Source organism: Homo sapiens, chromosome 11 (genome assembly GCF_000001405.40).
Source record: "Homo sapiens chromosome 11, GRCh38.p14 Primary Assembly".
Classification (NCBI taxonomy): Eukaryota; Metazoa; Chordata; class Mammalia; order Primates; family Hominidae; genus Homo; species Homo sapiens.
In genome coordinates this window covers 4,239,994-4,252,001 of record NC_000011.10, presented here as the reverse complement: position 1 = coordinate 4,252,001, position 12,008 = coordinate 4,239,994, and the positions used below count along the sequence as shown (strand labels likewise).

General features: G+C 39.9%; 1 protein-coding gene across 1 annotated transcript; it reads left to right on the top strand.

The window, feature by feature from the left end:
* Positions 1-9,295: 9,295 nt before the first annotated feature.
* SSU72L2 (SSU72 like 2) lies at positions 9,296-10,361 on the top strand. The gene has a single exon (NM_001413999.1). The coding sequence runs from the start codon at positions 9,362-9,364 to the stop codon at positions 9,944-9,946; it is 585 nt and encodes a 194-aa protein (NP_001400928.1). The 5' UTR covers positions 9,296-9,361; the 3' UTR covers positions 9,947-10,361.
* Positions 10,362-12,008: the final 1,647 nt, after the last annotated feature.

Sequence of the window (12,008 nt, the reverse complement as noted above, 5' to 3'; positions counted from 1 at the left end):
GGGGGGATGGGGGAGGGATAGCATTAGGAGAAATACCCAGTGTAAATGATGAGTTAATGGGTGCAGTAAACAAACACGGCACAGGTATACATATGTAACAAACCTGCACGTTGTGCGCATGTGCCCTAGAACTTAATGTAAGAAAAAAAAATAATTCTGCTCAGGAGGAACATCTCTGTGTATCTTCTTGCTGAGCCTGTGGTGGTAATAGGTAACAGGCAGCTACTTGAGCTCCTGGAGTTCTTAGATGCGGGCATCTCTTTTTCAGAAGATGCAACCAATATTTTCTAACAGGACCTGGAGAATCATTTTATTTTAAAATCCCTCATAGTTCCAATGTTTAGATCACCTGTGGTTCTGTCGCTATTTTTTTCCACTTTTTTTTTTTTTACTTATTTGGTAGTTTCTTGGCATGCTTGGTGTGTGAGTGTGAATGGATAGTGATTTTATATGAAAAAACTAGAGACTCTGTTCTCTGAAACTGTTACGTTTCTCTAGAAAGAATTCAGGCAGATAAGGGTACTGGCAGATCTTGATCCATCTGAGAGGACGCTTAACTTTTGCTAGTGCTAGCGTTGATCTTTTTCTGGGTTGTCCTTACTCCTAGAGTACAGCCCTTCTAGTGTTTCAAAGCTTCCTAGTGTTTCAGTGTTTATTTACAAGGGTTGCTCTACCTCCTCAGGCCCTGACCTCCAGCCTCTGACTCCCCAGCACCATCAGACTGCTAGTCTTTGCATAACTGTTTAGCTTCACAGCTGCTGCTTTCCATTCAGGTGCTGAGAATCTTGCCCTGAACATGCACAGCTAAGGAATTGGCAAACTCCTCAAGGGGAATCAGCACGCTGAATTTTGGCCCAATTTTCTCTAAGGCTGCCTCTTCTATCTCAGATCTCAGACTCCATGGTATCCCTGAACTGCAACTTCTTTATTCCTAGCCTGCTGAGTTTCACTCGCGTCCATGTGAAGAGACCACCAAACAGGCTTTGCGTGAGCAACAAGGCTGGTTATTTCACCTGGGTGCAGGCAGGCTGAGTCCGAAAAGAGTGTCAGCAAAGGGAGATAGGGGTCTGGCCGTTTTATAAGATTTGGGTAGGTAAAGGAAAAAGGGGGTTCTTCTCTGGTGGGCAGGAGTGGGGGGTCACAAGTTGCTCAGTGGGGGAGTTTTTGAGCCAGGATGAGCCAGGAGAAGGAATTTCACAAAGTAATGTCATCAGTTAAGGCAAGGACAGGCCATTTTCTTTTCTTTTGTGGTGGAATGTCATCAGTTAAGGCAGGAACAGGCCATTTAAATATCACTTCTTTTGTGATTCTTCAGTTGCTTCAGGCCCTCTGGATGTATTCATGCAGGTCACAGGGGATATGATGGCTTAGCTTGGGCTCAGAGGCCTGACACTGAGAATGCTACAAGCTCCCACTACCTTTCAACTTGGTCTTTGTTGCACATGCCAGGACTAAGCAAATGCTCTGAGGACAAAAGCAGAGGCAAATGTGGGGCTTGCATAGCTGCACTAGTGTACATTCTTTCCAGCAATCTTCCCTTCAAGTCCCACTTGGATTGTTTTTTTCTTTAACAACTTTGGTTGCTTTAAGTATTTTACCTAGCTTCTATGCTTACTATTGATTGGAAGGTTAGTACAAGCTCCTCCATTGTGCTCAGATGTTGGATGTAGCTTCTGCTTATCCACAAGTGTCCCAAAGCCCCAAGGGACTGGTTTAGGATTTATCCTCTGTCACCTGGATGATCACACCAGACTTCTAACTGGTCTCTGCTTATAGGCTTACCCTTTCCAATCCATGCTAACTCAGGAAAATGATACATCTGTTGTATTTTTCCAAAATTTCTTATAGTATACATTTCTCAGATAATAAACTATGGCTTCTGGTTTCCCCTCTCTACCTACAGTGCTGCAGACTTGGTTCAAAAATTAGGAACTGGCAAGCCATGCTTTGGGAGGCCCAAGTGGGAGGATTGCCTGAGGTTAGGAGCTCGAGACCTGCCTGGCCAACACAGTGAGACCCCATCTCTAGAAAAAAAAATGAGCTTGGCACGGTGGTGCACTCATATAGTTCTAGCTACTTAGGAGGCTGAAGATCACTGGATTCCAGGAGTTCAAGGCTGCAGTGAGCTTTGATTGTGCCACTGTACTCCAGCATAGGTGACAGAGCAAGACCTTGTCTCTAAAAAACAAACAAAACACAATTAAGTACTGAATTCCTAAAGTATCCAGGTACTGTATGAGCAGTGAGCCAAGATGAATATGCACAGTTCTGGTCATTGAGTCTAGTATAATGAGGATGATAGAACTATGAAAGATAACGTCAAAGTTGTAATTTTTATGACGTAATCATGCCCCTGACACTACAGGAGCCTAGATAATGGCATGGGCCTAGTTAGTACAATCCCCTTGCTGGGCTAGAGTCAGCAATGAGCTGTAATAGGGAGTCATTGTCTGTCAATACTGACACAAGGAAATTTACCAAGCATTTACTATGTTCTAGGAACTTTTCTGGCTGATCTGGAAGGGCAGATAAAGAAGTCTACCATTTGCCCTCAAGGGGTTTGCAGCCTATTAGGAGACAACCCTGCCAAACAGTAATATACCAGGTTGTTTGAAACACATCAACAACAAAACAACACCACCAAACAAAACAGAAACAGGAGCAAATCTATTTTTTTAAAGAGTTGAGAAGAATAGCACAAATACATAAAATGAAAAATAAGAACAATCTTGAAAATAGAAAATAAATTTTATTAATAATTATTATAAATAAGACTTCACAAAACAAGGTGTACAAATGGACCATAAACACATGAGATGATGCTCAGCATCTTTAGTCATCAGGGAAATGCAAACTAAAATCCCAAAATTCCACTCAGAAACACTAAATGGCTAAAATAGAAAAGGTGAGAAAGAATGAATGTTGGTGAAGTTGTGGAACAATGGGGACGCTGATGCTGGGAATGTAAACTGATTCAACCACTTTGGAAAAAAATATTTGGCAATTCTTAGGAAGTTCAACATATATTTATCCTATAGCCCAGACATTTCAGTCTTAGGTACTCACCCAAGAGAAATTGGTTGCTTGAGGGCCTGAAGGGAGAACTGGTAGGGGGTGCTTTATGAGTGTTGTCAGTTAGGCCCTGGGCTTGCGATCCGAGGAGGGAAGAGGAGAGAGGCTGATTTTGGTATCCTGAGATTCTTCATGGACCCAAGAAGCCAAAGGGAAACCCTGAAGTGGGTTGAAGGGGACCAGGAAACTCAAAGGCTTTCTTTAGGTGCATCTGAAGAGATCTGCTGCTTGCTTTGTTCTTTACTACCAGACTTGGGCCAACAGAGACCCCTGTGTCTTCTAGCATCTCTGGGACTGCTCCTGTTAGGGGAAGAAGGTATCTGAGTTGCCTAAGGTGAATCCGTACGGGTCTGCAGCAACCTCAGTTCTTACCTCTTCAGAGCAGCAAGAATTCGACTAAGAGGCATAAGGCAAAAAAAGACCGAGGCAAGTCTCAGAGCAGGAGTGGAAGCTTATTAAACAGCTTTAGAGCAGAAAGTAAAGTACACTTGGAAGAGACTCCAGTGGGTGACTTGAAGGACAAGTGCCCTGCTTAACCTTGATCCTGGGACTTTATATTGTGGCCCATTTTTGGCATATTGCACCCCTTTCCCATGATTCTTCCCTTAGGGTAGGCTGCCCACCTGCTAACACCCTCCTTATGCTTGGGAAGTGAGCATGCGCAGTGTGTTTAGGAAATTGTACTCATGTCCATCTGAGGCTTTCTTCCCTTTTCTGGTGGAATGCCTCCGGAAGGTCATACTCTGCCATTTTCTCTTAAGGCACATGCCTGGATTCACTTGCCCAAATCCTGAGATTTTATTGGAAGCTGATACCCAATCTCAAGTGTTTTCATCTGTTTGGGAAGTTGCCTCTCCCTGGTGCCTGAGTTCAATGAACACTTTAGTGTGGCAGCTATGGACCATCAGGAGATTGTCTTTCTTCACTGCTGCCAAGTTCTCATTTTTAGAGAGGCAGTGTGGTAACTGCCCAACCATCACTTGCTGGTCACCTGACCTTCCTGGTGGGTTGGGGGTAGAGCCCTCTCCTGCCTGGTTCATCTCTGTCTAACTACCTGTAACACTCCCATTTGGAGTCCAGGAGCAACTTAAGCGTCAGTGATAAAGATTCTGTGTTAGCAGGCCCAGCAGTCAGCAATGATCAGTCAGAAGAAACTGAACACTTACCAGTGACATGCAGAGGGGAGGGGAGAAAGATGACAACTTGGACAAAAAGTAAATTCTATTAAAAAAAATGTGAGGGGCCAACACTTTCTGAGACCAAAACACGATTTCTCTTATCAACAATTTAGTGAGTGAATTGAGATCCAAATTTGATTTGACTAATACTTCAAAACAAAAAGCAGAAATATAAGAAACCACGAGGAAAAAGAAGGGACGTGGCAGATAAATCAAGAATAACAAAATGTAAATTACTAGAATTTCACAAGGAGTAAAAGGTATTCGTGGAAGTAAGACAATAATTAAAGAATAGTAGATTATTTCTTGAATGTAATAAAGGCTCACTGTTTCAGGTTAAACCATGCTTTCTCAACAGGAGTGACAATGTCCATAATGGGGCAGAAACTGGTTCTCGGGGGAGTGAACAGAAATCTCACTCCCTTTATGTACAGAGCACAGATGCCGTACATAAACAAATACACACTATATCTATGCTATTAAAATTTTATGGGGAAGTGATTAGGGAAAAATGTCTAAGAAGGCTCCTTAAGTGGGGGTTGATTAAAACAATGGGGAAATACTGGACTAGAGTGATGAGAAAAAAGAAACACTGAGGCATCTGTCAGTACAAATGTTGAACTCTAAAGAGAAAGAGAAAAATCTGACAAACATACAGTTAAAAAGAACATATTATCTACAGAAGGAGAAGGATGCTGGAATTAGACTTTATATCTCCAACGCTGGAACGGACAGTGGCATAGCAGTTAAGGACTACTGAGAGAAAGGACTACAGCCCAACAATCCTGTACCCAGCTGAGATGTGGCCCCTCTGTTAGGTTGAAGGAAAGATACACAGTAATTCAGACAGTTTATCTCCTGTGTCCCCCAACAGAGAAACCTATTTGAGAGAAGACTTTCCAAACATTGTCACTGATGTGAACCTGAACAACAATTGGTGGGAATGTGAAGAAAAGAAAGGAAATGGAGGCATGTACTGAGGCTGGGACTAAATATTTCAATAATTTCTTATGTGCATAACAGAAAAAGAAGTTTAGACTTCAGGTAAAGTTCATTCTCAGTTGTAAATAAGGACTCAGAAATTGAAGGAACTATCTGTGAGATACATTTGACTAAGGCTATTGAACTAAAATTAACAAAATATCCTGGCAAAACCTGGAAGTTAGGAATAGGGGATCAGTCAAAAGTGAAAAAGAATTAAGAGCATTGCAAAACTCTTGTTTTCAAATAAGTACTAGAGAAACGTGTTCTAATCAGGAAGGCAGAGAAAGCGCAGGTAACCATTTAATGGGGTGGGTAATCCAAGTAGAATTTCAAGTTAGGTACAAAATGGAGTATATAACAACTTGACAAAAACCAAGGGCAGAAATAACAATATAAAATAAAGAAGATGTGAGGAATGTACAGTAAAAAAGTCATTACACCAAATGTGTATAGACTAAATTCTAGCATTAAATAAATTTTGAAATGTGGGTGGGTGAAGGGATCACAGGAATAAGAAATAAAATCAGGATGAACATAATCCATGCCCAGAGATTTTGATTCATTTGATCTGGGGTAGGTCCCAGACATTGGCATCTTATAAAAGTTTGGTAGAAAGGTCTTGAAATATCCAGCCACAGTTAACAATCACTGAACTGGAAAATCACTCTTAGCAGATTCCAGAACTGGAACTGTTATTGATGCCTGTGTTTCGAGGTGCCTAGAAGCCAGAATACCTTTGCCATGTTCTCCCTCAGAATCTTGAGATTTATTCATTTCTCTTCAGGTCCTGTATAACTTGTGATATCGCAATAGCAGCGGAAACATTTTTCTCTGTCTCATCACGTTGTTTTTCTAATACACTTCTCCAGGTTTTGTCTTGTGTGTGTTCCCCTATACTTGGACTTATGTAATCAAGAAGTCTGGTGCTTTGAAAAGCAATTAGTGTTTAAATAAATTATGTCTACTTTTATGTCTCTGAGTTGGTACTCTACCATCAGCTCAACATCTAATCCAATTAACCACATACTGTTTCCCTGGATTTTTTTGTTTGTCTCACTTTGTGCCTTCACTTGGAGGCAGAACATAGTAAATGCCCTTGTCATTTCCCCTGAGGACATAGGCAGTACCCGTAGTACTACCTCTAAGAAGTGTTTCAAGTAGAAATTCACTTATATGATACATTTAGTATTTCATACTGATCCTCCCGGTATTATCCTTTTATTTCTGTTGAAATTATATGCAACCACTTTGTGTATCAGTCTTCAAGGTTTGGTTTAACACTGTTTCTCAATTCTTTCAAAACACACAAAACATCTTCCTTTTCAGTAACACTTATAGCTGGTCTCTGAGATTTTTCTTCTTTTCATTTGTTAGATTTCTTTAGGTCTCAGTCATTGAGTCTGATAAGAAATTTCACAACATATTTAAGATCTGACTAGCTTTTCATTTATGTTGAATGTTTCCTCTCATTTGGTTTTTCAAGAAAATCCTGTTCATTCTCTATGCCCGAAGCAGTGCATTTAACAATTCTTCAGATGCTTCTAATGTATAGTCAAGTTTCAAAAATCTCTAGGGAAGTTCTTCTAAAACTTTGGCTTTTGGAATTATTAGGAAGACTTTGAAAAACACAGATCTCTGGGCTTCACCACTCGAGTTTCTGATTCAGTGGTTTGAGGTCCAAATTTGCATTTTTTTTTAATAGCTCCCAATTGAGGCTAATGCTGAGCACACACTTTGAGAAACTTGAAGGTGTTTACTGATTTAAAAAATACAGTAAGCACTCACTAACTGTGGTCAATAGGTTCTTCAAAACAATGACTTCAAGCGAAATGATGTATAATAAAATCAATTTTATCATAGGTTAATTGATATGAACAAGAGTCACAAAAGCATCACCAAATTTCTAAATAAAGATTCAACACACTTTGAATATTAAACCTTGAAATAAATGTGAGTTATACACACATTTAAGAAAGCTTAATAAAACCAAGTAAGATTATTATTTACCCAATTTTTGGTGAATCAGTGAGTGACAGTGGCCGTAGTTGTGGTAAGTTAAATCAAGGAATAAATGTTTGCAAAGAAAAAATTATAAGGAGCTCTTCCTACTACTACACAGTTAAAAACCAACAATGACAGACACGGCAGGCTGATCTATTTTGTACTCTGATCATTATTGTCTTGCATTTGTATGATTACCACATATTTTATGAATTTTTATTTGTCAATAATTTGTATTCATTCATTCATTTTCCAATCCGCTGATTCCTCTTTGGAGTGGCAGGTGGCTGGAGCCTATCTCGGCAGCTCAAGGTGTGAGGAAGGAATCAACGCTGGACAGGACCCCATCTGGGATTCAGGGCACACCCTCACACTAGGACCATAGAGATGTCAGTTCACCTAATGTGCACATCTTTCGGATGTGGGAGGAAACAAGAGTATCCAGAGACAACCCACACAGACATAGGGAGAATACGTAAACTCCACACAGACAGTGGCCCCGCCAGAAGTCAAACTTTTTTCTCATTAATGTTACAATAAAATGATGTTAGGTGAGGCTGGGCACAGTGGCTCATGCCTGTAATCCCAGCACTTTGGGAGGCTGAAGCGGGTGGATCACTTGAGCCCCTGGGCTTTTGAGACCAGCCTGGGTAACATGGTAAAATTCCATCCTCTACAAAAAATACAGAAGTTATTCAGGCATGGTGGTACACACCTGTAGTCCAAGCTACTCAGGAGATCAATATGAGAGGAATGATTGAGCCCAGGAGTCTGAGGTTGCAGTGAGCCATGATGGCACCACTGCATTACAACCGGGGTGACAGAGTGAGACCCTTTGTCAAAATGAAAAAAGAAAAAAAAGGATGTTATTTGAGAACCTGCTGTATTTGCAATGTAAGAATCACCTTAAGAAGGACATACAAAAATACAATATATTGCTTTATAGATACATTTTGTCACTGCACCAGGGACAAAAGTGATGTCCCTGATCTGATTTACATTGATATAAATGTGAGCCATACATACATTTAAGAAAAATTAATAAAAACAAGCAAGGTTATTATTTACTCAATTTTTGGTGAATCAGTGAGTGACAGCAAACAGAGCTCACCTATAAATGAATCCCGACTGGGTGGGGCCCCCTTTGTGGAGAGTTGCAGCTTTAGGAATTTAATCATCTTGATGATTATTTCAATTAGTTAGGAGCCCATTATCATAATCTAATCAACCATAAGGTGATTGATTATAAAGTGACATGATTATCCTTATTGTTTGGAACCCCTTTCATAATTTTAAAATCTCTTCATTTTCTTAATAAATTTTACAAACTTTTAAAGAAAAATAATTCTAAACATTGTATTTCAGTACCGAAAACTAAGACACAACTGTACCTGAAGGCATATTAAAGTAGGCAGAGGCTTGCAGCAGTTGCTGCCTTCTCTGGAGAATCATTATGATTTCAGTAATATCAAAGGCAGAAAATGTTGTGTAGAATAACTCTTAAAATACCATAAGCAGATATGTTGTTGAGAATGGGTTTTTTTTGGATTGGTGAAAAATTTTGTGAATTTCTGGACAAAACTATGTACAATGGTCCTGTGATTTATGCAATTGCATTTCTCGAACACTATGAAAATTAAAACAAGCAACATCACTTGTAATTTATAATTAAATAGGGTGCAGCCTTGGACATTGTCAATATGTTTATCATCCAATTTAATGTCTGAAGGTCACTGGAGAGTCCTATGACATGCTTGCAGGTAGCTTAATTGTCTTGGCCATTGTCCATAGCAGCCCCCATTCACTAGGAGAACCACCAGAGCAAACTCCAGATTTTAAGTGAATCCAGACTGGGTGGTGCCACCTTTGCTGAGAGTTACTGCTTTAGGTAATTTAATCATCTGGATTGTTCTTGTGATGAGTTAGGAGACGATTATCACAACCTAATCAATCCAGAAGTCATGAAGTCTCCACCCACTAATTAAGGTGACTCAATATAAACCTGCCTCCTGTGCCTCCATATTAGCTCATTTGGAAGACCTGGGTATAGGTGGTCGTCTCCTCGGCTCCGAGACCCTGCAGCAGCTGAGGTGCCTGTGTCTCTCTGGTTCCCAGTGGCCGCCATCATGCTCTCCTCCACACTCAGGGTGGCTGTGGTGTGCGTGAGCAATGTCAACAGGAGCATGGAGGCCCACAGCATCCTCAGGAAAAAAGGGCTAAGTGTCCGGTCTTTTGGAACTGAATCTCATGTGAGGCTACCAGGACCAAGACCCAATCGTCCTGTAGTTTATGATTTTGCAACAACATATAAGGAGATGTACAATGACCTCCTCAGGAAAGATAGAGAATGCTACACCCGCAACGGAATCTTACACATCTTGGGAAGAAATGAGAGAATCAAGCCCGGTCCAGAAAGATTTCAGGAGTGCACTGATTTCTTTGATGTCATCTTCACCTGTGAGGAGAGTGTCTATGACACAGTGGTGGAAGATCTGTGTTCCAGAGAACAGCAGACCTTTCAGCCTGTGCACGTGATCAACATGGAAATCCAAGATACCCTGGAAGATGCCACCCTGGGAGCTTTCCTCATCTGTGAGATTTGCCAGTGCCTGCAGCAGTCAGACGACATGGAAGACAATCTGGAGGAGCTGCTCTTGCAAATGGAGGAGAAGGCAGGAAAAAGCTTTCTTCACACCGTCTGCTTCTACTGAACATCTGGGCTGGCTTTGTCCCCTTCCTCAGTAAGAACTTAGACATGGGACTTTAGTCCGGATTTATTGTGAGAAGCATCTACAAAGACCTTCCACTGAGTACTGTTTGTGTTACTTTTGTACACATCACCTGGAAAGAGACTATTACCAAGAAAATATTTTATGGGAAATGAGAAGGACTAACATTTTTAAAAGCACTGAAAAATGGTTGGCATTGTGCTAGGTGCATTACATGGGATAACTAATTTCATGCTTATATCATTCTACAAGGAAGCTAGCCCACCATGACGCCATTTTCCAGATGAGCAAACCGAGCTGATAATGGACTGCTTGAAAAATGATTTGTTTAAGGGTATTCAGCAGATAAATAACATTGTATAGATAAGCACCTTTTAAATAAACTTCCTTTTCTCAATTTGAGTGGTTTCTTTTTAATTTTTTAAGTAAGTTGAGACCAATGGAGTGTGGTATGTTAACTTAAATGTTGTTCTTCTTTAATAAGAGTACAATATTACATGTTTGAACAGATAACTGTTTTTACATATAAATTATATCTTTTTTACTAATGCTCACTTTAATGGGTAAAATCCAAGTTGGATAATGAACTACATATGATTGTAAAATTTGGAATTATCTGCTCAAATCATAGGTCATCAAATTAAATGAAATAAAAAATGTAAATAAAAAGTATATTCTTATTTCTGTTTGGAGGATGCATTTCAAGCCACTAAGCGACATGCTTTTATTTAAACCTTATGAATTACACTGAAAAAAAAAAACCCAAGTTGGATAACAAACCACAGATTATCATAAAATTTGGAATTATCTCCTCAAATAATAGGTCACCAAATAAAATCAAATAAAAAATTTTAAAAAAAAACTATATTCTTATTTATGTTGGGGGATGGATTTCACACCACTAAGCCACATGTTTTTATTTAAGGCTTACAGATTACAGTGAAATAAGCAATCTCTCATATTGAGAGATTCAAATTGTATTAAATTTAAAATGTTTATTGACTTGAGCATTGAGAACATCAGGTGATAAACCTAATGATGTTTTCATGGAGAAACAAGTGAAACACTTTCCATAATCCTTGGTAGTGGCACTAAAACATGTTCACTAATAGGAGAAAAAATAGATCAGAAGTAGTTGTTCAGAGTTGAATTAATTTACATGTTATCTACTGAATTAGACTTATTATGGCAACCTAAAATAACAGCAGAGATTAGCTTTCCAAAGATAATGAGTTTATTTAAACGAAGGATTGCAAACAGGAATGCACCAGGTATAACAAGTTGTAGGTGCATCCTGACAGGTTGGGGTAAGGGGAAACTTTTAAAGGCAAAAAGAAGTCCACAGAAACTACTTTAAAACAAAGTTTATTGGTCACAGAAGCTGACTGCAGGAGTTGGCGTTAGCTTCTTGGTAGAGACAGCCATTGCTAGGCATGTGTTCCTGCGAGAACATTTTATCTATAATGCTGCAGTCTTGAATATAATGCAGTTACAGAAATATGTGTGAACATGCAGAATGAGCAAAGTGTGTAAGACCTGCTTGTGGTGTAAAGCATGTAGGATGTGCCATGATCTCTTGTGGGTTTTAGGGAGTCGTGATAGCTCTTATCTCAGATATACAGGCATGGGCTCCCCTCCTTCATGACCCTCCAGCTCCACTTCACCTGGATCTGACGATACTGGACTTCATCTTGGTAGTAACAACTTTCACATTTTTGGTATCAGAAACTTTCAAAGTTGTAAGAAAATATTCTTTTTCCTCTTGCAGTGTGGGTAGCAGGAGGCAAGTGGAAGTGGGGAACCCACTGGTACAGTAGTTCACAGAGGAGAGGTTGGAAGCTTGGGGGAGGGAAGTGTCTGTCAAAAGGCAGAAGAATGGACACATTGCAGAGGGATGTTAGAGCTGACATGAGAGACTTCTTGATGAGAAAAGGAGGACTTTTGAATCACTCTCAGATTTCTGATTTTAAGGGTGGCTTGGTCCAAATATATAAGTGAAAGTTTTGGTGGTAGGGCAGTGAGGTGTTTCCTCACTGATAGTTTC

Excerpts from the sequence above, each read along its gene's own strand:
- SSU72L2 (NM_001413999.1), top strand. The coding sequence starts at position 9,362 with ATGCTCTCCTCCACACTCAGGGTGGCTGTGGTGTGCGTGAGCAATGTC.